The sequence below is a fragment of the Homo sapiens genome, chromosome 11, assembly GCF_000001405.40.
Source record: "Homo sapiens chromosome 11, GRCh38.p14 Primary Assembly".
Lineage (NCBI taxonomy): Eukaryota > Metazoa > Chordata > Mammalia > Primates > Hominidae > Homo > Homo sapiens.
Genome location: NC_000011.10, coordinates 65,247,699 through 65,274,045, shown reverse-complemented (window position 1 = coordinate 65,274,045; position 26,347 = coordinate 65,247,699). Strand labels below are relative to the sequence as shown.

Below are 26,347 nucleotides of genomic sequence, written 5' to 3'. Positions count from 1 at the left end.
CAATGATTTACATAATTACTTCTCTATTGCTGGATTATGGGTTGCTTGTAATTTTCAGTGATTACAAGTAATGCTGAGTCTCAGGTGAAAAGTGATTTGGCAAATTAAGATTTTAAATTAAAAAAATGCTAAAATGCGTATCTTCATGCATACAGCTTTTCCCATAATTTGAATTATTTCTTCAGAAGAGTTTTTTTTTTCCCCCTAGGGAGAATTACTGGGTCAAATGATAGAAAAAGATTTTATGAATTTGGCCAGGGATGGTGGCTCGTGCCTGTAATCCTAGCATTTTAGGAGGCTGAGGCAGGAGGATCACTTGAGCTCAGGAGTTCAAGACCAGCCTGAGCAACATAGTGACACCCTGCCTTTATTTTTTTTATAATTAAAAAAAAAAGATTTTATAATTTTAACACATTTTCTCAAACTATCCCTCCAAAAGATTCTCCTAATATACAGTGGGCTACAACACTCCACGGCCAGTGTTGTGGGGCAGGGATATTTTGAGAGAATGACAGTCTGTCTCGCAAGACGTGGCAAGGTGACAGCACTTTGGTAAACAAGGCACAGTCTGGTGTTCTAGTCCTCAGCCTCAGGGCTGAAATCCAATAGTGTTCACCAACTCCAGTACCAGTTCTCAAGGATGCGCTCCCTTTAACCAAGCTCATACGATTCATTATTAACACTTAATGCCAATTTCATCATGTTTTTTTGTTGTTGTTGTTTTTGTTTTTTGAGACGGAGGGTTGCCCAGGGTGGAGTGTGCAGTGGCATGATCTCAGCTCACTGTAACCTCCGCCTCCTGGGTTCAGGCAATTCTCCTGCCTCAGCCTCCTGAGTAGCTGGGATTACAGGCATGTGCCACCATGCCGGGATAATTTTTGTATTTTTAGTAGAGATGGGGTTTTGCCATTTTGGCCAGGCTGGTCTCGAACTCCTGACCTCAGGTGATCCATCCACCTTGGCCTCCCAAAGTGCTAGGATTACAGGCATAAGCCACTGCGCCTGGCTAGTTTCATCTTTTCTTTTTTTTTTTTGAGATGGAGTTTTGCTCTGATTGCCCAGGCTGGAGTGCAGTGGCACGATCTCAGCTCACTGCAACCTCCGCCTCTGTTCAAGCAATTCTCCTGCCTCAGCCTCCCGAGTAGCTGGGATTACAGGCGCCCGCTGCCACGCCCGGCTAATATTTTTGTATTTTTAGTAGAGACAGGGTTTCACCATGTTGGCCAGGCTGGTCTTGAACTCCTGACCTCAGGTGATCCACCCATCTCAGCCTCCCAAAGTGCTGGGATTACAGGCGTGAGCCACCGCAGTGGCCGGTTTCATCATTTTTAATCAGAAATGTAGTCACCAATGGTACCATATTTTCATATCCTAGGGTAAGCACATTCTCACACTCACAGAGAAAATCAAATTATAACCAAGGATGCCAGTTTATTAATTTACTAGAAATATAATTGCCAAGGGTATGGGAACGTCAAGTCCTCAGGCTAACACATTCTCTCCGTTAGGGACATGGCAGCCAAATCATCAGCAGATTTATGGTGAACACGGAAGCAAAAGAACAGCTGTCAATCGTACAGGTGAAATATTTAATAGTGATAAGCTAAAATCACTGACATATCATATTTACCTCTATAGCAGAGGGACACCTGTTCCCAAGACCTGACAAGGGTCAGGCAACCTCAGCCTGGCACTGTTTGTATGGAAAGGCCAACATTCACACTTTTCTTTTTTTTTGAGATGGAGTCTCACTTTCTCGCCCAGGCTGAAGTGCAATGGCATGATCTCAGCTCACTGCAACCTCCGCCTCCTGGGTTCAAGTGTTTCTTCTGTCTCAGCCTCTCGAGTAGCTGGGATTACAGACACCCACCATCATGCCTAGCTAATTTTTGTACTTTTGTAGCGATGGGGTTTCACCATGGTGGCCAGACTGGTCTCGAACCCCTGACCTCCAGTGATCCTCCCACCTCGGCCTCCCAAAGTGCTGGGATTACAGGTGTGAGCCACCATGCCTGGCCACACTTTGACTATTTTATCATGCTGCCATTGATGCATGGCCTAACAGTGACTGAACAATTTCCATGTGATAAGTACTGTTCTAAGCATTTTACGTATCTCTAGCCTGGACATATTGTTTGCTCAACATTTCACTCCAACTCATTTAGCGTGGAATTCACAGTCACAAACTTTTTTTTTTTTTTTTTTTTCAGACGGAGTCTGGTTCTGTCATCCAGCCTGGAGGGCAGTGGTGTAATCTTGGCTCACTGCAACTTCCACCTCCCGGGTTCAAGCGATTCTCCTGCCTCAGCCTCCTGAGTGGCTGGGATTATAGGCACCACCACCATGCCCAGCTAATTTTTTGAGTAGAGATGGAGTTTCGCTGGTCTCGAACTCCTGACCTCAAGTGATCCACCTGCCTCAGCCTCCCGAAGTGCTGGGATTACAGGTGTGAGCCACTGCACTCGGCCTCACAGTCACAAACTTTGATTCACAATTTAGTCTCCTAAGTATTTCCATAGCAGGAATGGGGTATCCTAAATATGGGATTTCAGTCATTGGAAGGGTATCTACTTCAATAGTAAAGTAAACAAATTTGCACCTGGCTTACGCATCAGTCTACTGACAGCTGGGTTACCATGAGTCAGACTCCGGAATATGATCAATTCTGGATACACAGACAAATTACATAAAATTCTGGATCTGTGAAGCTGTTAACCAGATAAAACCGTGGTGGTCCCATTGGTATTGCAATTGAGAGAGCCAACCACACTCCCTTATTCAGAGATCTTTCAACAACTATTAACATGCCAGGGTGCTGGGAAAACAGCAGCAAGTAAAAACAAAGTCTCTATTCTCAAGGAGCTTCCATCTAATGGAGGGAAGGCCGACTAAAACAAAAAAGTAAGTATATAACATGTTTGGTGGTAATAAAGCAAGAGAATAATAAGGAGAAAAATAAAGCAAGAAAATAAAACAGAAGAAGGGCTTTGTTCTTTTAGGCAGGCTTGTTCCCTGACAAGGAGACATAGGAAATGAACCCATATTTGGCACGGCAGAAGCAGAGAGCAAAGGGGAGCAGGGAAAGAGGACAGAAGGAGGAGGGGGCCAGCTCCTACAGAACTTCACATATGCTGGTTCAAACTTTGCATATCAGGAGGAAAGACGAAAAGCCAGTGGGAGAGATGTGAGCAAGAAAACCTGACCTTTTGCTGGAAAGGAGCACTCTGGCTGCTGGGTGGAGAGGTGGTTAGAGGTGGATATGGCAGAAAGAAGCCAATGGACTAGTTAGGAGGCTGTCCCAATCATTCAGGAGACAATGATGCTGTGGACCTGGTGGTAGCAGTGGAAATGGTGAGAGGTGGCCAGATCCTGGAGAGGGATGACAGGACTGGTAGCTAAGTTGGATGTGGGGTGTGAGAGAAAAAGGATTTAAGGAGGTCTCCAAGGTTCTTGGCCTGAGTCAATGGAAGAACGGAGGTGTCCTTCACTGGGATATGGACTCAGAAAACCACTTTAGGAGGAAAATCAAATGAGTTATAGTCTCTCCAATTTTAAGAAACTCTAACAAACACCTAATTATTTCTTTTAATATTATATGCACCTGGTTTTGTGTTAGCAACTTCATGGGGCACATTTTTGGCCCTCTTACTCTCCACAGGCATATCTAAACTATTTACCTTCTTTCTTCCTGAGACAGGGTCTCACTTTGTCATCCAGGCTGTAGAGCAGCGGCATGATCTCTGGTCACTGATCCTCCTGCCTTGGTCTCCCGGAGTGCTGGGATTACAGGCATGAGCCACTGCACCCAGCCCTTACCTTCTTTCTTATGATGTAATTTACTTTGAATAATTAAGGCTCCCTCCATGTTTATGAATTTCTACAAATTTATTTAGTTAGTATAAAGAATAATTACTGGGCTGGGCACGGTGGCTCACATCTGTAATCCCAGCACTTTGGAGGCCGAGGCAGGTGGATCACCGCAGGTGAGGAGTACGAGACCAGCCTGGCTGACATGGTGAAACCCCGTCTCTACTAAAAATACAAAAATTAGCTGGCCGTAGTGGCGCATGCCTGTAATCCCAGCTACTCAGGAGGCTGAGGCAGAATTGCTTGAACCCGGGAGGCGGAGGTTGCAGTGACCCGAGATCGTGCCATTGCACTCCAGCCTGGGCAACAAGAGGAAAACTCCATCTCAAAACAACAACAACAACAACAAAAAAGAATAATTACTATTACTGAATACATTGCATAGGGCAATGTAAATTACCTCTTTCTTATGATGTAGTTTACTTTGAATAATTAAGGCTCACTCCATGTTTATGAATGTCTACAAACTTATTTAGTTAGTATAAAGAATAGTTACCATTACTGAATACATTGCATAGGGCCTGATACTTTACCTATTTATTTCCTCTTCAAGCCCTCCAAGATGGGGGATATTGTGCACTGGCTGTCAGCTTCTTGAGGGCAGAGCCCATCCATGTCTGTTTCATTCACCATTGTTTACTCAATGTCTAGTGCAGTACATAGTTGTTGTTGTTGTTTTTTTTTTTTTTTTTGAGACGGAGTCTCGCTCTGTCGCCCAGGCTGGAGTGCAGTAGCGCGATCTCGGCTCACTGCAAGCTCTGCCTCCCAGGTTCCCGCCATTCTCCTGCCTCAGCCTCCCAAGTAGCTGGGACTACAGGCGCCCACCACCACGCCCGGCTAATTTCTTTTTTTGTATTTATGGTAGAGACAGAGTTTCACCATGTTAACCAGGATGGTCTCGATCTCCTGACCTCGTGATCCGCCTGCCTCAGCCTCCCAAAGTGCTGGGATTACAGGCATGAGCCACTGCGCCTGGCCACATAGTTGTTGCTGGATAACTGAATGAATGAATCCTGATATTATGGATAAGGAAACTGTCTCAGAGAGATAAAACAACTCACTCCAGGTCACCTAGGTCTTCTGACTCAGACTTTGAAGGCAATGCTTTTCCACTACCCTACTTGACCTTTCACACTGGGATCCAACACAGAACTGAATTATTCAATTATAGTATAAAACTATGAAACTATTCAAAAAGGGCAATTATGGAGAAATTATGTTTATAGAAATGTTTTATGTTGTGCTGAGAAAAGCAGGATAACTATATGTTTATAAGGACTGCCATTATGTAAAACATTTAGACATATGATCAGAAAGGAAGATGTATAAGTGGAAATATAGTAGGAAATGCATGAGAGTGGTTGATTTTTTCCCTCAGATCTTCAAATGTTGTGAAACTATTTTAAAATGTTACTTGTAAAATGCAATGTCCAAACACTGTTTACTTACCTTTGAAGGTGTGGTGTAAGAGTTCAAGAGGATTTCCTCTTCTTCTTCCACTTCAATTCTAAGAACACTGGTTAAGAAAAACAATAATGGCTGGGCACGGTAGCTCATGCCTGTAATCCCAGCACTTTGGGAGGCCGAGATGGGCGGATCACGAGATCAGGAGACAGAGACCATCCTGGCTAACACAGTGAAACCCCGTCTCTACTAAAAAAAATACAAAAAATTAGCCGGGCGCCTGTAGTCCCAGCTACTCGGGAGGCTGAGGCAGGAGAATGGCATGAACCCAGGAGACGGAGCTTGCAGTGAGCTGAGATCACACCACTGCACTCCAGCATGGGCGACACAGCGAGACTCCATCTCAAAAAAAAAAAATAATAATAATAATAATAAACTTTCATATAAGGCAAGGGCTGATTGCTAGAAGAAATCTCAATATTAGGCAATTTTTACTATTATTATTATTGAGATGGGGTTTCCTCGTCGTCCAGGATGGAGTGCAGTGGCCTGATCTCAGATTACTGCAACTTCCACATCCCAGGTTCAAGAGATTTTCTCACCTCAGCCTACCAACTAGCTGGATCTACAGGCGTACATCACCACACCCAGCTTATTATTATTATTTTTTAATTTGTACTTTGGCCGGGCACGGTGACTCACGCCTGTAATCCCAGGACTTTGGGAGGCCTAGGCAGGCGGATCACCTGAGGTCAGGAGTTCGAGACCAGCTGGCCAACATGGTGAAACCCTGTCTCTACCAAAAAAAATACAAAATTATCCAGGTGTGGTGGTGTGCACCTGTAATCCCAGCTACTCAGGAGGCTGAGGCAGGAGAATCACTTGAGATTGGGAGGCAGAGGTTGCAGTGAGCTGAGATTGCACCATTGCACTTCAGCCTGGGCAAAAAGAGCGAAACTCCAACTCAAAAAAAAAAAAAAATTTGTACTTTTGATAGAGACAGGGTTTCACCATGTTGCCCAGGTTGGTCACAAATTCCTGGGCTCAAGTGATCTGCTTGCCTCGGCCTCCAAAAGTGCTGGGATTACAGGCCTGAGCCACCGTGCCCGGCCTTATTATTTGTTTTTAAATTACACATGCGACTACAGACAAATTATAAAATACAACATGTAGCTTGGTGCAAAGACCTTCAGCAGAAAAGGATACAGCTCTTGAATGGAAACAATGTCTCTAGCTCCTGCATGGCCACTGTCCTTGCAGGTACTATGCCTGGCTTTCGATAATCTTTTGCTCAGAAACTGAAAAAGAAAAGATAGTGAATACAGTACTTCATAGTCAAGTAATAGCAGAGGTGTTTTCAAAAGCCTTGAGATAATAAAAGGTATTCAAAATATAATCAAAGATCTAACATTCCTCAAAGAATTAAGATACACACAGACTAAAAACAAAGACATCCCATGACTGTCTATAACATATAACAATCCTAATAATACCAATTATTTGGTGAAGACTTATCACCTGCTGGGCATAGTTTTAAGTGCTTTATGTCCATTCTCATTTCTTTTTTTTTTGAGATGGAGTCTCGCTCTGTCCCAGGCTGGAGTGCAGTGGCGCAATCTCAGCTCACTGCAACCTCCACCTCCTCGGTTCAAGCGATTCTCCTTCCTCAGCTTTCCGAGTACCTGGGATTACAGGCGCCTGCCACCATGCCCAACTAATTTTTGTATTTTTAGTAGAGACAGGGTTTCACCACGTTGGCCAGGCTGGTCTTGAACTCCTGACCTTGTGATCTGCCTGCCTCGGCCTCCCAAAGTTCTGGGATTATGGGCATGAGCCACGGCGCCCAGCCCCATTTAATTCTTATAACAATCATAAAAAATACAGATTATTAGACCCAATGTCAGAAAAGGAAACTGAGGCTCAGGGACATAGTTTGTCCAAGCTCACACTGGGACTGGAATCCAGGCCTGACTCGAAAGCCCACACTCCTCTCAATATATCACAATGCCTCCCCTGTAGAGCAGAAATGGAGAATCACATTATTAGTTTGCTTTCATTTTGTTCTTACCTCATGCTCAAAAGAGTTCAGGATCTCTGAGGTAAGGCCAACTTTATGTGTGCTGGTGCAGAAGGCTATAAGCTCGCCTACCATTCCCTCCTCATTCTGTCCATACTGAACACAAAGCTCTACCACTGTAGAAAGGAAAATTGGACAAGTAAAAACTTAGTTCATTTCTCGAAGTTTCACCTAGAAAAGCAAAAATAATCCTGGTTTACTCCATCAATGTTTATTCAGAATCTATTAGTGCCAGGCACTGTTTTGGGCAATGAGAAAACAGAAGCATCCTTGTCCTTACAAAGCTCACCACTGAGGGGAGACAAAAGAGGATAAGGGCAGAATCAGGGGGACCAATTAAAGAATCATGGAAAAGCCCAGGTGAGAGATGATGGTGGCTTGGATCAAGGTGGTGGCAGTGGAGATGGCGAGAAGTGGCTGGACTCTGGATAGGACTTTACATGCTGGAAGTGAAGCCAGTGGGATCTGCTAACTGAATGTAAGGTATGAGAAAAAGAAAGTCAAGGATGATGCTGATATTTTTAGCCTGTGCAACAGGAAGAGTGGCGTCCCTATTAACTGAGATGGGGAAAAGAGCCAGAGGAACTACTCTGAGGAGAGAGAGGAGATACCAGGAGCTTAGTTTTAGACATGCAGAGTTTGAGGTGCCATTTAGACATCCAACTGGAGACAGCAGGCTGAACAAACCAGCCTGTAGTTCAGGCAAGGGTTGTGGGCGGAGGTATAAATTTGGGAACCATCAGTAAATACATGGGATATAAAGCTATGAGACCCCAGGTGAGATCGCCAAGGGAGTGAGCGTATCTAGAAGGGAGAAAAGATCCCAGGCTTGAGTCTTGGGGCGCCTTAGGGCCTCTGAGGATGAATCGGCAAAGCCTGAGAAGCGGTGACACAAGCAAAGCTGAAGAAAAACTAGGAGTAAGCCGGATGCAGTGGCTCACGCCTGTAATCCAGTATTTTGTGAGGTTGAGGTGGGCAGACTGTTTGAACCCAGAAGTTTGAGACCAGCTTGGGCAACAGGGTGAAACCGTTTCTATAAAAAATACAACAATTAGGTGGGCTTGGTGGCATGTGCCTGTAGTTACAGCTACTTGGGGGCTGAGGTGGAAGGATTGCTTGAGCCAAGGAGGTTGAGGCTGCAGTGAGCTGTGATTTGCCCATTATACTCCAGCCTGGGCAACAGAGCAAGACCCTGTCTCAGAAAAAAAAGAAAGAAAAACTAGTAGTGTCTAAGAAGCTAAAAGAAAAATGTGTTTAAAAAAAGAAAAAATGACAAACAGTGTCAAGTGCCGGTGCTAATTCAATTCAAGATGAGGACTGAAAATTCATCACTGGTTTTAGCATGGTGAAGGTCACTGGTGACCTTGAGTAGAGCAGCTTTGGTGAAGTGGTGGCAACAAAAGAACTTACTGAAATGGATTTAAGGAGGAAATATTTAAAGATGGCAAGGCCCCCCCCCTTTTTTTTTTGGAGACAGAGTTGCACTCTGTTGCCAGGCTGGAATGCAGTGGCACGATCTCGGCTCATTGCAACCTCCACCTCCCCGATTCAAGCGATTCTCCTGTCTCAGCCTCCCAAGTAGCTGGGACTACAGGCATGCGCCACCATGCCCAGCTAATTTTTGTATTTTAAGTAGAGACCGGGTTTCACCACGTTGGCCAGGATGGTCTCCATCTCTTGACCTTGTGATCCGCCCTCCTCCGCCTCCCAAAGTGCTCGGATTACAGGCGTGAGCCACCGCACCCGGCCGACCCTTTTGAGGTCTGCTGTAATTGGGAAGGAGAGAACTGGAGTGGGAAGTAGGGTCAACAGAGTATTTTAAAGGCAAGATTGGAAGCACATTTCTATACTAGTAGGAAAAAAATCTTGTAGCAAGGAAAATAGAAAATATGTAAGACAGGAGAATTACCAGTGATGTCCTTAATTGCTTCAGAAGGAATGGGGTTTAGGACTCAAGTGGAGGACTTGGATTTTGCTAGGAATACGGAAAGCTTATTCATTATAATAGGAAAGAAGGCTAGGTATATGCCACAGATATGGGTCAGTGAGACATAATGGTGGTAGCTGATCGAAGTTTTCTAATGCTTCTACATTTTTCAGCAAATAATAGAAATTTGTCAGCTGAGAGTGAGGGTGGGACAGAAGGATGTTACAGGAGAAGGTGGAAAACAATCATCTGGAAGACTCAGAGTAAAGAGACCAGGGGCCTGGCGCAGTGTAATCCCAGCACTTTGGGAGGCCAGGGTGGGCGGATCACCTGAGGTCAGGAGTTGAAGACCAGCCTGGCCAACATGGTGAAACCTTGTCTCTACTGAAAATACAAAAAGTAGAACAGGTGTGGTGGCTCACACCTATAATCCCAGCACTTTGGGAGGCCGAGGTGGGAGGATCACTGGAGGTCAGGGGTTCGAGATCAGCCTGCCCAACATGGCGAAACCCCATCTCTACTAAAAATACAAAAAATTAGCCGGGCGTGGTGGCGGGAGCCTGTAATCCCAGCTACTCGGGAGGCTGAGGCAGGAGAACCGCTTGAACTCGGGAGGCAGAGGTTGCAGTGAGCCAAGATTGCACCATTGCACTCCAGCCTGGGCAATGAGAAACTCCATCTCAAAAAACAAAACAAACAACAACAAAAAAAACAGGGAAATACGGTTGACTGTCAGGAAACATTAAGGTGCCACTGAAGTTACTGATGATCCAAAGTCCACAATTCCAAAGCCATTGCCATGAGATGAAAGCAACTGGCATCTTGGCCTGAAGCCTTTACAAATCTGGTTCACATAACTAATTTCTCTCATGCTGATTTCATGCTTACCACATACATTTCTGACTATGATCAGGTTTTCCACTTAAGTCTTTTTTTTTTTTTTGAGACAGAGTCTCGCTCCTGTTGCCCAGGCTAGAGTGCAATGGTGTGATCTCGGCTCACCACAACCTCTGCCTCTCATGTTCAAGCGATTCTTCCGCCTCAGCCTCCTGAGTAGCTGGGATTACAGGCATGCGCCACCACGCCCGACTAATTTTGTATTTTTAGTAGAGACAGGGTTTCTCCATGTTGGTCAGGCTGGTCTCAAATTCTCGACTTCAGATTATCCACCTGCCTTGGCCTCCCAAAATGCTGGGATTACAGGCGTGAGCCACCACACCTGGCTAGTCTTCTTTTAAAAAGAGAAGGACCGAGCCTGCTGGCTTATGCCTGTAATCCCAGCACTTTGGAAGGCCAAGGTGGGTGGATCACTTGAGGTCAGGAGTTCGAGAGCAGTCTGGCCTACATGGTGAAACCCCTTCTCTACTAAAAGTACAAAAAAAAATTAGTCGGGCCTGGTGGCGGGCGCCTGTAATCCCAGCTACTTGGGAGGCTGAGGCAGGAGAATCGCTTGAACCTGGGAGGCGGAGGCTGAAGTGAGCCGAGATTGCACCACTGCACTCCAGCCTGGGTGATAAAACAAGACTGTCAAAAAAAAAAAAAAAAAAAAAGAGAGAGAGAGAAGGCACTGGGCATGAAGACTTGAAGTATTCTGGTTTCTGAAAGGAATTTCTCACCATAAATTAACGTTTCGTTATCTTTTTGTATATAAGAAGTTCAAAGTGTTGAGTGGTTAAGGCAGGTGCACATTCATACCGATTCTAGAACTTCCACATCTCCCAGGCTTTGCTTCAAATGACTCCTTACACTGCTCTACAGCTTGACCAACACGATGGACCCGTATGATGCAGCACGGGACTCCAAGGCAGGACACCTGGCTTCACAGACAGCTCAGGCAATTAGCTTTCCTTGTCTGTTTCTCCATCTGTAAAGCTCCCTAAAGCTCCTTCCACAGCTCAAATTCAATTTTAGGAACCTACCTCAAGGGATTCATATTTGCACAGACCACCAACAGCTATGATAAAATAACTGATGGATCAGCAGAGGTTTAAGGTGTAGGCTGGAAAGGGAGGAGCCAAGAATAAAAAGCTACATTTCAAAACCCCCACATCTGTTGCTTTGTTACCGGGGCTTCAACAATTTCCAAACTCAGGTGCCACCAGTGCCTAGTCTCTATCTAGCACATCCCAATTCCGCCTTTCGGGAACTTCGAGTTGGTTTAAAATCGTGCTGCATATTCCTATTTTTGATTTGGCATCCAAGCGGTACCCGGTGGGCATTTCAAAGTCCCCACATCCTAAATCTCAAAACTCAAGTTTGATTCTTCATCTCACAGCCACCGAGAACTCTGCTCCAGGGGAAGTGGAAATTGGAAGCGCTCCACTTTCGGTTCTAGGCGCCGAGGAACTCGGGCGAGAGCGTGGAGCACGGCTGCAGGGCGGGAGGGGTGCGGGACTCACATTTCTCAATTAGAGCCTCCTCGCAGTCTAGGCCGAAGATCTGCAGCTCCTCCGCCAGCTGCTGGGCGGATGCGGACATGGTCGCCCAAGCCAGGGGCCGGGGAGCCGGCCCACCCAGCTCCGACCTGCGCCCAAGAAGCCCACGGGGGTGGCGAGCGATGAGCTCCTCGCCCTCTTATCCTTCCCCCCTCCGCGGACCGTGACAGGAGGTGACTGGCCCAAGCAAGACCTCAGACCGTCAGAAGGCCCCGGCCGTCGGTCACAGAGAAATACTTTTTTTAAAAAATGAAGGGGTGGCTCCCAAACGCCCTGAATGGAGGGAGCAGAAATCTCGAGAGGACGCTCTCCTGGTGAGAACGTCCTGCTTCCCAAAAGCTACCGCTGAGCTTCTCAGTGACGGTGGCAGAACTGAGTGGCCGGAAAAACCCGCCAAATGGTTTGTGCAGTGCACGCATGCGCGAAACCGGGAGCCAACCCCAAACCTTCCCCTTGCTTTCCCCGGCTCATTCCGGAACCCCACGCGCGCACGCGCGGCCCAGGGCGCGTGCGCATCAGCGGGCGTGTGGGCGTCTCTACGCACGCGCCTGGCGGCCCGCCAGTCAGCAGCTGCGCAGTTCTCTCTCACGGCGCGAGAATGCCGGTTGTGACTCGCAACGCCCGGGAGTTGCCTACAAGGAAACTGAGTCTGTGTGCGGATGCCTGTTTTCTGGGCATCGGCTGCTCGATAAAACTCAGTGGCGCATGTTTGTCACCCTTTTGCCCTGTTCCGTGGTGCGCAGGCGTTGTCGTGCGCGTGCCTTCGACTATCTAAAACTTACTGTACCCCCTTCTCCATTCCCCTTGTCATCTCTGCCTGTTGTGCCCTTGGTTCATCCTAAAAGAATGGCTTCAGTAGGGAATCTGGTTGCCATGGTTATTATCGTGCTTATCACCGTGGTGCCAGCCACAGTGATGGGTATGTTTTCTGAATCTGGGGCATTTGGGGGGATATGAGGTGGGAAGGTGACGGATAATTTAGTTTTGGACACGTTAAGTTTGAGTGCCTCTGGGATTTCCAGGTAGAGATTCCCAGTGGGTGACTGGAGGCTTGGGAGTGAAGGTAGGTCACTCAAGGATAGAGTTTAGGGGTAAGATGAGAAGAGGGTTCTCCCCTTGAAATACACCGTAATTCTTTGAGCCAAAAATCTCAACCGTAGGCGTCATACAATGCTGGTGGGATGGTATAGAGCGTTTCGAGAAAACAATTTAGCAATATGTATCAGGAACCTTTAAAATGTCCATCCCAGGCCAGGTGCGGTCACTCACGCCTGTAATCCCAGCATTTGGGAGGCCGAGGCAGGCGGATCACTTTGTAGCAGGACGAGCCACAGACAAAACTCCTCAGACACCCGAGTTAAAGAAGGAAGGGGTTTATTCGGCTGGGGTCATCGGCAAGACTCCTGTCTCACCAGCCGAGCTCCCCGAATGAGCAATTCCTGTCCCTTTTAAGGGCTCACAACTCTAAGGGGGTGCGCCTGAGAGGGTCGTGATCAATTGAACAAGCAGGGGGTACGTGACTGGGGGCTGCATGCACCAGTAATTAGATCAGAACAAAACAGGATAGGGATTTTCACAGTGCTTTTCTATACAGTGTCTGTAATCTATAGATAACATAACTGATTAGGTCAGGGGTCCATCTTTACCAAGCCTAGGGTGTGAGGCCGGGCTGTCTGCTTGTGGATTTCATTTCTGCCTTTTAGTTTTACTTTTTCTTTCTTTGGAGGCAGAAATTGGGCGTAAGACAATATGAGGGGTGGTCTCCTCCCTTAACTTGAGCCCAGGAGTTCAAGATCGGCCTGGGCAACGTGGCGAAACCCCTTCTCTACAAAAAATTAGCGGGCGGTGGTGGCGGGTTCTTGTGATCTCAGCCACTCTGGGGGCTGAGGCTGGAGGAGCGCTTGAGTTCGGGAGGTCGAGGCTGAAGTGAGTCATGATCGCCTCACTGCACTCCAGCCTGGGCGACAGAGCAAGATCGTGTCTCAAAAAGCAAACAAAGGCCGGGTGCGGTGGCTCACGCCTGTAATCCCAGCACTTTGGGAGGTCGAGGCGGGAGGATCACGAGGTCAGGAGATCGAGACCATCCTGGCTAACACGGTGAAACCCCGTCTCTACTAAAAAAAAAAAAAAGAAAAAAAAAAGAAAGCCTAGCGTGGTGGCGAGCACCTGTAGTCCCAGCTACTTGGGAGGCTGAGGCAGGAGAACGGCGTGAACCCGGGAGGCGGAGCTTGCAGTAAGTCGAGATTGTGCCACTGCACTACAGTCTGGGCAACAGAGCGAGACTCCGCCTAAAAAAAAAAAAAAGCAAACAAAAACCGAAGTATGTGTGACCTCTAGTCAGCCAATGGCTGCTTGGCTGTATTTTGAATTTAGGCCTAGTTAGCCACTCCGGATCCATCATGAACCTCTTTTGGGGTTCACACCCTTAAGCCTCAAATATTTACTCTCTGGCTCTTTACGGAAAATGTTTGCAGTTTCCCACCATCAGCAATAACCAATGGATATCAAATGTGTTACATACATATTTTTCCCAACCTGTCTTTTAACTTTGTGGGTTTTTTTTTCTACCACACAACACTGTGCAATTCTTTTCCTGTATGGGTTTTAGGTTTCCTGCTTTGTTTAATAAGGTCTCCTCGACCTAAGCTTATGCAAATATTCTTCCAATTTTTGTTTTATTAATTTTACTTACGTTTTGCCTTTAGTTCGCTAATCCACCTAGAATTAATCTTATTTGTGATGTGAGGAAGGATTTAGCTTTGTTTTATTCCTGACAAACAGCCAGCATGTCAGCAGTTATACTTAGTAAATAAAACATTCTTCAACTGACTTGAATTGTGATCTTTCATGTATCAAGTCCCCATAAACACTTGAATCTGTTTCTGGATTTTCTGTTTTATTCCACTGATTTATTTGTTGTCTTTTCTGTGTCAATATATTTTGATTGCAGGAGTAAATCAAGTGGGTTTTAGATCTGTGACATAGCCAAGTCCTAAAACAATAGTAGCTGAGACAAAATAGAAGTTTATTTCTCTCGTCAGATAAAATAATTTCAGAGATAGGTAGCCCAGGGCTAAAATGGTGGCTTCACGTTCATCAGGCCTCCATCGTTCCACTCCACTGTCCTCGAATTAATCTCCATCCTTACAGTCACCTCATTGTCCAAGATGGCTTCTGGAATTCCAGCCATCAGATTCACATTCCATTCCAGGTAGCAGAAAGTAGGAAGAAGAAAGGGCAAATAAAATTTTAAAAACATAAAGCAAGAAAAGAGAGTGAAAAGAGAAATGAAATGAAAAGGGAAAAAAGAAACAAAAAAATGACTTTTGCAAACCGTTGTCTATACATTTTTGAAGAGGAGTCTTTCTAGAAGTCCTTCCCAACCACTTTTGCTTATACTTTAGCCACATAGCCATACCTTTAAAGGAGGCTGGGAAAGCCTCCTTATAGGTTTAAAAGTTATATTGTAATATTATTGAGGAAACACATTGCTACCCCATCAATATACAAATTTTGTTACTAAGAAAGGAGTTAATACTAGGTAAGCACTTAGTAGTGTTTGCCCCAGGTAGCTTTACAGTAACTTCCCAAAACTGTTGAAGCATTTTACTATTTTTTTTGGGGGGGGACAGGATCTTACTTTGTTGCCCAGGCTGGAATGCAGTGGTGTGATCAAGCTCCCTGCAGCCTCAATCTCCTGGGTTCAAGCCATCCCCCCACCTCAGTCTCCTAAGTAGCGGGGACTACAGGCACGCACCACCACACCTGGCTGTTTTTTTGTTTTTGTTTTTGTTTTTGTTTTTGTTTTTGAGACAGTGTCTCATTCTGTTGCCCAGGCTGGAGTGCAGTGGAGCGATCTCGGCTCACTGCAACCTCCGCCTCCCAGATTGAAGCGATTCTCATGCCTCAGCCTCCCGAGTAGCTGGGAATGCAAGCGCCCATCACCACACCCAGCTAGTTTTGTATTTTTAGTAGGGATGGGGTTTCACCATGTTGGCCAGGCTGGTCTCAAGCTCCTGACCTCAGGTGATCCACCAGTCTCGGCCTCCCAGAGTGCTGGGATTACACCACCACGCACACCTGGCTAATATTTTTGTTTTTTAATAGAGACAAGGTCTTGCTGTGTTGCCCAGGCTTGTCTGGAACTCCTGGGCTCAAGCAATCCTCTTGCCTTGGCCTCCCAAAGTGCTGGGATTACAGGTGTGAGTCACTGTGCCTGGCCTAGTTTTTAGGAAACCATTTTAAACTTTTAAAGTCATTTTATACAGTATATCCTATCCCCCTCCATTCTGATAGGAAGGACTTAAATATTTTTATATATTTAGGAGAAATGAATACTTTAAGCATTCCAAACAGGATCCTGGTATATCTCTTCATTTTTTTAGGCTTTTTGTCTTTGTCTATCAATCCAATTTTATAGTTTTTCCCATATAGACCCTGTTTTTGTTCAATTTATTGACACAATATCTTCTGTTGCTTTTATGAATGTAATGTTTCTCCCGTATTGTTTTTTGTTTTGTCATTGCCAGTTAAAGGAAAGTTACTGGCTTTTGGATTGTAAATTTTTTTTTTTTTTTTAGACAAGATCTCACTCTGTTGACCAGGCTGGAGTGCAGTGGTGTGATTACAGTCACTCAAGCCTTCCACCTCAGCCTCCCAGGTAGCTGGAACTATAGGTGTACGCCACTATGCCCGGCTAACTTTTGAATTTTCTGTAGATTCAGGGTTTCACCATGTTGCCCAGATGGATCTGGAACTGCTAGCCGCAAACAATCCACTCGCCTCAGCCTCCCAAAGTGCTGGGATTACAGGTGTGAGCCACAACTCCCAGCCTTGGACATATTTCTTGCAACCAGTCACTTTGACCAAATTCTCTTAATAATATTAATGTTTTAGGAGAGTCTCAGATTTCCTAGATTATAATAACATTTTCTAATAAAAAATATTTTTCCCTTCTTCTCAAATATTGATACTAATCATTTTATTTTCCTGTCTTGGTGCATTGAACCAAACCTTGGAATCATTGTTGAATCACAGTAGGCATCCTTGCCTTCTTCCTGTTGCTGATGGCACTGGCTTCAGCATGGCCTCCTTCGGTGTGATGGGTGTTATTGGGTTGTGTTAAGAATGCATAATCTGCACTTTGGGAGGTTGAGGCGAGTGGATCACGAGGTCAGCAGTTCAAGACCAGCCTGGCCAACATGGTGAAACCCCGTTTCTGCTAAAAAATACAAAAAATTAGCCGGGCGTGGTGGCAGGCGCCTGTAATCCCAGCTACTTGAGAGGCTGAGGCAGGAGAATCGCTTGAAACTGGGAGGCGGAGGTTGCAGTGAGCTGAGATTGCACCATTGGACTCCAGCCTGGGCAGCAAGAGCGAAAACTCCATCTCAAAAAAAAAAAAAGAATGGCTCACACCTGTAATCCTAGCACTTTGGGAGGCCAAGGTGGGCAGATCACCTGAGGTCAGGAGTTCAAGAGCAGCTTGGCCGACATGGCGAAACCCTGTCTCTACTAAAAATACAAAAATTAGCAGGGTATGGTGGCAGGCGCCTGTAGTCTCAGCTACTTGGGAGGCTGAGGCAGGAGAATTGCTTGAGCCCAGGAGGCGGAGGTTGCAGTGAGCTGAGATCATACCACTGCACTCTAGCCTGGGCAACAGAGTGAAACTCTGTCTCAAAAAAAAAAACAAAAACAAAAAAAAAGGAATGCATAGCATAGTCAGGGTGTTGTTTTTTTATCTAGTTCTATTTTACTTAGAGAGTTTATTAGGAATGACTGCTGAATTGTACCCAACCCCGCAAGGGAATGATTTTCTCCTTTAACTAATGGGTGTAAGAAAATGTGTCAGGCCAGGCGCGGTGGTTCATGCCTGTAATCCCAGCACTTTGGGAGGCCGAGGTGGGTAAATCACGAGGTCAGGAGTTTGAGACAAGTCTTGTCAACATGGTGAAATCTCGTCTCTACTAAAAATACAAAAATTAGCCGGGCACAGTGGCAGTCGCCTGTAATCCCAGCTACTCAGGAGGCTGAGGCTGGGGAGAATCGCTTGAACCTGGGAGGTGGAGGTTGCAGTGAGCCAAGATTGCACCATTGCACTCTGGCCTGGGTGACACAGCAAGACTCCATCTCAAAAAAAAAAAAAAAAAAAAAAAGAAAGAAAGAAAAGAAAAGGAAAGAAAGAAAGAAAATGTGTCACTTTAATCATAATAAACATTTACTTTCTTTTAAAAGATAATGTATTAAAAAGTTTTGTGCATCAAAGATTACTATCAAGAAAGTGAGAAGACAATCCACAGAATGGGAGAAAATATTTGCAAATCATATATTTGAGAAGTGTCTAGTATCCAGAACATATAAAGAATTCTTACAACTCGCCCGGGTGCGGTGGCTCACGCCTGTAATCCCAGCACTTTGGGAGGCCGAGGCGGGCGGATCACGAAGTTAGGAGATCGAGACCATCCTGGCTAACACGGTGAAACCCTGTCTCTACTAAAAATACAAAAAATTAGCCGGGTGTGGTGGCGGGTGCCTGTAGTCCCAGCTACTCGGGAGGCTGAGGCAGGAGAATGGCGTGAACCCAGGAGGCGGAGCTTGCAGTGAGGCAAGATGGCGCCACTGCACTCCAGCCTCGGTGACAGAGCAAGACTCCGTCTCAAAAAAACAAAAACAAAAACAAGAATTCTTACAACTCAACAATAAAAGACAGGTGATTCACTGTCTTTTATTGTCAACAATAAAAGAGAGGTGATTCGCTGGAGGTCACGAAGCTGTAAGTAACAGAAAGTAACTGTGGACCAGTTGGTTCCTTTACATTGCATCTGGGTAGGTTTACAGAAACTGTTGTGGGGAGCACACAGGCAACAATGGAGTGAAATTTACAACCAGCTCCTGTAGCTGATTTCCTGGACTCCGATTGCAAATGGGGACCTCATGGATCTCACATTAGTGTGAAATGATAGAAGAGGTTAATGCCAGGGTCCAGTTTTACACTGTTGTTAGCACACACAGAGTGGATGGTCACATGTATTGTAGCCCACCTGGAGTGAGCACAGAGTGGAAATCAGATGGAACATGATTTTAACTCTGATAATTTATATGTTTGGAAACTGCAAAAGGATGAAGGGTGGCTTTGAGAGAATTGAGTCAGATAGCAGAAGTATGTATAGTATGTGACATATATAAGATTTTATAGAATATATAACATATATAGATAATAATATATATTATGCATATAGTTACACACACACACCAAGGATGCCAAAGAGGAATTTTAGGTTTGGTTTTGTTTTGTTTCAGGCAGAGTCTTGTTCTGTTGCCCAAGCTGGAGTGCAGTGGCTTGATCATGACTCACTGCAGCCTTGACCTCCCTGGGCTTACGTGATCGTCCCACCATAGCCTCCCAAGTAGCTGGGACTTCAGGTACACACCGCCATGACCCGGTTAATTTTTGGTTTTGGTTTGTTTGTTTGTTTCGTAGAGATGGGGTTTTACAGTGTTTTGTTGTTGTTGTTGTTGTTGTAGAGACGGGGTTTCATCATGTTGCCCAGGCTGGTCTTGAGCTCCTGGGCTCAAGTGATCCACCTGCCTCAGCCCCTCAAAGTGCTGGGATTACAGGCGTGAGCCACCATGCCCAGCCTATTTTATACTTTTATTTCATTTATTTTACACTGTTATTTATGTGGTTTGTTTTTTGTTAGTTAGTCTGTTTGTTTGTTTGGGACAGAGTTTCACTCTTATTGCCCAGGCTGGAGTACAGTGGCGCAATCTTGGCTCACTGCAACCTCCGCCTCTGAGGTTCAAGCAATTCTCCTGCCTCAACCTCACAAGTAGCTGGGATTACAGGCATGCACCACCACGCCTGGCTAATTTTGTATTTTTAGTAGAAACGGGGTTTCACCATGTTGGCCAGGCTGGTTTCGAACCTCTGATCTCTGGTGATTCACCTGCCTCGGCCTCCTAAAGTGCTGGGATTACAGGCGTGAGCCACCACGCCTAGTCATCTGTGTTTTAATTGTGGTAAAAACACATAACATAACATGTATGATCTTAACCGTTTGTAAGTGTACAGTTCAGTAGTGTGAGTACATGTTTTATTTATTTTTGATGCTCTCCAGAAGTCGGGAATTTGGGAATTTTGGGAGGCACCGCCCTACACTGTAGGTATATTGCCACCAGGTGGTGGCAGTGTAGCATGGTCCTCAGGGTCTGGTCTGAGTTTCTCCAGGACTGTCTTTTACACTATTTATTTATTTCATGTGTATAACTTTATGGGGTGTGAGTGTAATTTTGTTACATGCATAGATTGTGTAGTGGTGAAGTCAGGACTTTTAGGGTATCTGTCACCTAAATAACACACATTGTATCCATTCAGTAATCTCTGATCACCTACCCCCATTCACCCCCACTCACCCTTCTGAGTCTCAGTTCTCTACCATTCCACACTCTACGTCCATGTGTACATATTATTTAGCTCCCTCTTAGAATTGAGAATGTGCAGTATTTGTCTTTCTGTGTCTGATTTGTTTTACTTAATGTCCTCCAGTTCCATCCATGAATGTCCTCCAGTTCCATCCATGTATGTCCTCCAGTTCCATCCATGTGACTGCAAAATACATGATTTCATTCTTTTTTATGACCCAATAGTATTCCATGGTGTATATGTACCACATTTTCTTTATCCAATCATCTGTTGATGGACACTTAGGTTGATTCCATGTCTTTGCTCTTGTGAATAGTGCTGTGGTAAATGTACTGGTGCAGGTACCTTTTCGATGTAATGATTGCTTTGGGTAGACACTCAATAGTGAGATTGCTGGAGCACATGTTAGTTCTATTTTTAGTTCTTTGAGAAACCCTTGTATTGTCTTCCATAGAAGTTGTACTAATTTACAATCCCCCAATAGTGTATAAGAGTTCCCTTTTTGGCCTGGCATGATGGCTTACACCTGTAATCCCTGCACTTTGGGAATCTGAGGCTGGTGGATCACTTGAGGTCAGGAGTTCAAGACCAGCCTGGCCAACATGGTGAAACCCCATCTCTACTAAAAATACAAAAATTAGCCGGCATGGTGGCAGGCGCCTGTAATCCCAGCTACTCAGGAGGCTGAGGCAGGAGAATCACTTGAACCCAGGAGGCAGAGATTGCAGTGAGCCAAGGTCGCGCCACTGCACTCCAGCCTGGGCAACAGAGGGAGACTCTGTCTCAAAAAAAAAAAAAAAGAGTTTCCTTTTCTCCACATCCTTGCCAACATCAATATTGTTGTTATTCAAATTTTCTTCCTCCCAAAATCCCTCCGTGCTGTTATCTGAAACTGAGGCTTTCTGCATAGTGGGAGGCAAGATTTAAAAAAACAAAGCTTGGGCCAGGCACGGTGGCTCACGCCTGTAATCCTAGCACTTTGGGAGGCCGAGGCGGGCAGATCGCCTGAGGTCAGGAGTTCAAGACCAGCCTGGCCAACATGACGAAAACCCATGTCTACTAAAAATACAAAAATTAGCTGGGCATGGTGGCGGGTGCCTGTAATCACAGGTACTCAGGAGGCTGAGGCAGGAGAATCGCTTGAACCCAAGAGGTGGAGGTTACAGTGAGCCGAGATTGCACCACTGCACTCCAGCCTGGGTGACAGAGCAAGACTCTGTCTAAAAAAAAAAAAAAGAATACATTCTTTTTTTTTTTGAGGCGGAGTCTCACCCTGTCACCCAGCCACCGTGCCCAGCCTAAGGAATACATTCTATATGGTTTTGTTTATATGAAATTCAAACATAGGCAAAACAAAATATAAAAGTTATCCAGCTGTACTTAAATTTACATTTAATGGAAAAGGTTATATCTCTTTTTTTTTTTTTTTTTTTTGAGACAGAGTTTCACTCTTGTTGCCCAGGCTGGAGTGCAGTGGCGCAATCTCAGCTCACCACAACCTCTGCCTCCCAGGTTCAAGTGATTCTCCTGCCTTAGCCTCCCTAGTAGCTGGGATTACAGGCATGCGCCACCATGCCCGGCTAATTTTGTATTTTTAGTAGAGACGGGGTTTCTCCATGTTGGCCAGGCTGGTCTCGAACTCCCGACCTCAGGTGATCTGCCCACCTTGGCCTTCCAAAGTGCTGGGATTACAGGCATGAGCCACCGCGCCCGGCCGGTTATATCTTGATTAAAAGAAAGTTTAAAAGGTGATTTGAAGGTTCAGCACTCCGCTGTAGCTTTGCCCCTGCTCAGTGATGCTGGAGGAGGCCACGGTGCTCTGGTCATATATCCAGACAGGCCTCACTGCCCAGGCCCAAAGAGGAGGAGCTGCTGTGGTTTAAGATCTGCCACTGGGGCTCAGAGACCCTCAAGCATTGCTCAAGCTTTGGGTCCTTGCTCAGCAGAATGAAGACCCCCAGCAGGTCCCTATCCCTGACACGGCTCGGACAGGAGATCTATTGGTCCAGTTATCACCTGTCCGGCAGTGATGTTCTGGGGTATGGCTGTGAAGTTCTGCAGGAAGTTGTGGCAGGTGAGCAGGCACGCAGGGAATAGCGTGAGTGCAGTCTGGATGATCTGGAAGTTTCCTGTGCCGCCGCTGTGGAGCAACTCCAAGAACCCGATCCTACTGTCTCACTGCTACTGATCACTGAGGCTTCTCCACACACGCCCTTGTGGTCAAAGAAATGTACTCCCTGGCCTCATTCTTCTAGAGGATTGTTGGGAAAGAGCTTCTGGGTATTTGTCCAGCACACTGGTAACTTACATCTTGTTGGCTCTCCATCAGGAAACAAGGTGTCCTCAATATATAAATATTCCAGCCGGGCGCGGTGGCTCACACCTGTCATCCCAGCACTTTGGGAAGCTGAGGCAGGTGGATCATCTGAGGTCAGGGGTTCAAGACCAGCCTAGCCAACATGTTGAAATCCCATCTCCCCTAAAAATACAAAAATTAGCTGGGTGTGGTGGCAGGTGCCTGTAATCCCAGCTACTCAGGAGTTGGAGGCAGGAGAATTGCTTGAACCTGAGAGGCGGAGGTTGCAGTGAGCCGAGATCATGTCATTGCACTCCAGCCTGGGTGACAAGAGCAAAACTCTGTCTCTCTCTCTCTCTCTCTATATATATATATATGTGTGTGTGTATATGTATATCTATATATCTATATATATACACACACATATATATAGATAGATTCCTATGTAGATTCCTATATAGAATCCTTCTATATAGATTCCTATATAGAAGGAATATATATGTATATATTCCTTCAGGGATTAAACCTTTCATGTGACCCATTTAAATGGAAGCCTTCCAGATATAATCCCTGTGTCTTAATTTCAAAGCCAGTCACCAATATTTATTGAGGTTCCATAAATCAGTTGTCTCTCCCAAGCTCAGGGGCATTATTAGACCTGTGTGACAGCCAAAAATTCTATCCCAAATTCTCTGATTCAACCTTAGTTAAGATGAGAGGTGGAGCAATAGGCCACTGTCAAGCTCACATCCAACGAGGCCAGGCAGAGGCCAAGTCCTGACTGATTTGACCTGTAAAGGCACGATGAACCACTTTTAGATTTAGGGTTTATTCTCTACATAGACAGTGAAAAGGAGGACAAGCCTAAGGTGCCAGCCCCTGCGGTCCTTGTCCTCTACGCCAAAAAGGAAGACCCTGAAAGAGAAGGGGCTTGTGACTGCAAGGGGAGTTGGGCGATGCCCCGTAGCTGAGGAGCCTGTTCCAGATGCAGCTGAGTAATTTTATCTTCTGCAGCTGTATTCAGAGGAGGGCAGGGTGCAGAGCCTCAGATCTCACAGAACCTGGAGGTGATGCAGAACCGTCTCATGACAGCCTCCAGGGGGAGACGGGGAGGCCAATGGGAGGTGGCCTGGTAGTAACTCCTATAGGCCTTTGACCCTCTGGATGATCGCAAGAGGCATCATCTGATGCCAAGACTCAGATGAGCTGCAGCTGAAGCCTTTGCCACCTGGCCTAAGTATTTTGGTCTCTGGCCAGTCTTCTCTTTCTTTCTTTTCTTTCTTTCTTTCTTTCTTTCTTTCTTTCTTTCTTTCTTTCTTTCTTTCTTTCTTTCTCTCTCTCTCTCTCTCTTTCTTTCTTTTTTTGGGATGGAGTCTCACTTTGTTGTTCAGGGTGGAGTGCAGTGGCACCATCTCGGCTCACTGCAACCTCCACCTCCCAGGTTCAAGTGATTTTCCTGCCTCAGCCTCCCGAGTAGCTGGGATTACAGGCATGCACCACCACATCCGGCTAATTTTTGTATTTTTAGTAGAGATGGGGTTTCACCATGTTGTCCAGGCTGATCTCGAACTCCTGACCTCAGGTGATTCACCTGCCTTGGCCTCCCAAAGTGCTAGGATTACAGGCGTGAGCCCCCACACCTGGCTGGTCTCTGGCCTTTCATGTATCCAGCTAAGGACTCTCAGAGGTATAGCTGCCACATCAGATACTGTAGTTGTTTGCACTCTGCCTCCTGGGCTCAAGTGATCCTCCTGCTTCAGCTTCTCAAGTAGCTGGGACTACAGACACATGCCACCACCATATATATATATATAATTTTTTTTTTTGGAGATAGGGTCTTTCTCTGTTGCCTAGGCTGGAGTGCAGTGGCATGATCTCAGCTCATTGCAACCTCTGCCTCCCAGCTTCAAGCAATTCTTGTGCCTCAGCCTCCCAAGTAGCTGGGATTACAGGTGTGCGCCACCATGCCCAGCTAATTTTTGTTTTTTTAGTAGAGATGGGATTTCACCACATTGGTCAGGCTGGTCTCGAACTGCTGACCTCAAGTGATCTGCCTGCCTTGGCCTCCCAAAGTGCTGGGATTACAAGCGTGAGCCACTGCACCCAGCAATACCATAATTAAACAATTATTTAAAATTTTTTGTATTTTTTTGTAGAAACATGGTTTCACCATATTGCTCAGGCTGGTCTCGAACCCCTGAACTCAAGTGATCCACCCGCCTCTGCCTCCCAAAGCACTGGGATTACAAGTGTGAGCCACTGCCTGGCCTCAAAATCATTTTTTTCTTTTTGAATTAGAGACAGGGTTTCACCATGTTGCCCAGGCTGGCCTCGAACTCCTGAGCTCAAGCTATCTGCTGGCCTCAGCCTCCCAAAGTGCTGAGATTACAGGTGTCAGCCACCATGCCCGGCCCCAAAACATTTTATTTATTTTATTTTATTTTATTTTTTTATTTTATTTTATTTTATTTTATTTTATTTTATTTTATTATTTTATTTTATTTTATTTTATTTTATTTTATTTTATATTTTATTTTATTTTTTGAGATGGAGTCTTGCTCTGTCACCCAGGCTGGAGTGCAGTGGCACAATCTCTGCTCACTGCAGCCTCCGCCCCCCCAGGTTCCAGCAATTCTCCTGCCTCAGCCTCCCGGGTAGCTGGGATTACAGGTGCACGCCACCATGCCTGGCTAATTTTTGTATTTTTAGTAGAGATGGGGTTTCGCCATGTTGGCCAGGCTGGTCTCGAACTCTTGACCTCAGGTGATCTGCCCGGTTCAGCCTCCCAAAGTGCTGGGATTACAGGCGTGAACCACTGCGCCCAACCAACTATTTTATTTTCTTTAGAGAACATGAGATGAATGTGGCCGTTAACTGTGACTGCCAGCAGGCTGACCAGGCCTACACAGCCAGGGTCCGAGCCAGAGCCAAGCCACCAAAATATGCCATTAAGCAAATTGTGAGGCAAGAGGTGCTGGCCACCACACATACCCCACCTCGGCTGACTCCAAGGAAGTCCAGGGCAACGTGATTGTCCATGGCCACTTGTGTTGGTGCATTCCGAACAAACAGTCTGTGAAAAACACACAAAACCATCCAAAAATAACAGGATGAAACAAAAGGAATCAAACCAGCTCAGAAAGTGAATCTTGTACCATTGTGTTAAGTGCAGGCTGTTCCTTCCTGGCGGAGCCAGTAGCTGTTGGGAAGTTTCTTTTATTTATTTATTTATTTATTCATTTATTTATTTATTTATTTAAGACAGAGTCTTGCTCTGTCACCCAGGCTGGAGTGCAGTGGCACAATCTCGGCTCACTGCAACCTCCGCCTCCCGGATTTAAGCGATTCTCCTGCCTAAGCCTCCTGAGTAGCTGGAACTACAGGTGTGTGCCACCATGTCCAGCTAATTTTTGTATTTTTAGTAGAGATGGGGGTTTCACCATGTTGGCTAGGTTGGTCTTGAACTCCTAACCTCAGGTGATCTGCCTGCCTTGGCCTCCCAAAGTGCTGGGATTACAGATGTGAGCCACTGAGCCCAGCTCATTTATTTTTTTGAGATGTAGTCTCGCTCTGTCAGCCAGGCTGGATCACAGCTCACTGCAGCCTTGGCCTTCCTGGGCTCAGGTGATCCTCCCACCTCAGCCTCTCAAGTAGCTGGGACTACAGGTATGTGTCACCATACATGGCTAGTTTTTGTATTTTTAGTAGAGACGGGGTTTCACCTTGTTGCCCGGGCTAGTCTTGAACTCCTGGGCTCAAGCAATCTGCCTGCCTCCGTCTCCCAAAGTGCTGTGATTAGAGGCGTGAGCCACGTCCGGCATGTTGGGAAACTTCTGATTAAGATTCTTCATTGGTCAGTGCTCAAGTTGAGGTGGCAGTGGCAGTCTGGGTTGAACTGGCTGAACATCCTATGGACAGGAGC

The 26,347-nt window shown here is 45.9% G+C and overlaps 1 protein-coding gene across 8 annotated transcripts in view, besides 5 other annotated features; it reads right to left on the bottom strand.

Moving 5' to 3' along the window:
• The window catches only part of POLA2 (DNA polymerase alpha 2, accessory subunit), a 44,024-nt gene extending 31,940 nt beyond the window's left edge, over positions 1-12,084 (bottom strand). For all 8 annotated transcript variants that reach the window (XR_007062468.1, XR_007062469.1, NM_001438747.1 and 5 more), the window contains exons 1-4: positions 11,675-12,084; positions 7,340-7,464; positions 6,478-6,569; positions 5,317-5,374 (exon numbers count right to left, since the gene is read on the bottom strand). Coding sequence is in view for 6 of the 8 variants with exons in the window: in NM_001438747.1 (NP_001425676.1) it covers positions 5,317-5,374; positions 6,478-6,569; positions 7,340-7,464; positions 11,675-11,753 (354 nt within the window). In the remaining 2 variants the exon portion in view is untranslated. The remainder of the gene's footprint in view (positions 1-5,316; positions 5,375-6,477; positions 6,570-7,339; positions 7,465-11,674) is intronic.
• Positions 11,173-12,058: an enhancer, noted in NCBI's record as "H3K27ac hESC enhancer chr11:65029459-65030344 (GRCh37/hg19 assembly coordinates)". NCBI's record gives its function as "activates a minimal SCP1, AML or CMV promoter by ChIP-STARR-seq in naive H9 embryonic stem cells {active_cell/tissue: H9 hESC(naive)}" and the evidence as "EXISTENCE:reporter gene assay evidence [ECO:0000049][PMID:30033119]".
• Positions 11,173-12,064: a biological region, named in NCBI's record as "H3K27ac hESC enhancer GRCh37_chr11:65029459-65030344".
• Positions 11,815-12,064: an enhancer, noted in NCBI's record as "active region_4952". NCBI's record gives its function as "activates an Ori minimal core promoter by ATAC-STARR-seq in GM12878 lymphoblastoid cells {active_cell/tissue: GM12878}" and the evidence as "EXISTENCE:reporter gene assay evidence [ECO:0000049][PMID:35858748]".
• Positions 12,059-12,946: an enhancer, noted in NCBI's record as "H3K27ac hESC enhancer chr11:65028571-65029458 (GRCh37/hg19 assembly coordinates)". NCBI's record gives its function as "activates a minimal SCP1, AML or CMV promoter by ChIP-STARR-seq in primed H9 embryonic stem cells {active_cell/tissue: H9 hESC(primed)}" and the evidence as "EXISTENCE:reporter gene assay evidence [ECO:0000049][PMID:30033119]".
• Positions 23,564-23,623: a silencer, noted in NCBI's record as "silent region_3512". NCBI's record gives its function as "represses an Ori minimal core promoter by ATAC-STARR-seq in GM12878 lymphoblastoid cells {active_cell/tissue: GM12878}" and the evidence as "EXISTENCE:reporter gene assay evidence [ECO:0000049][PMID:35858748]".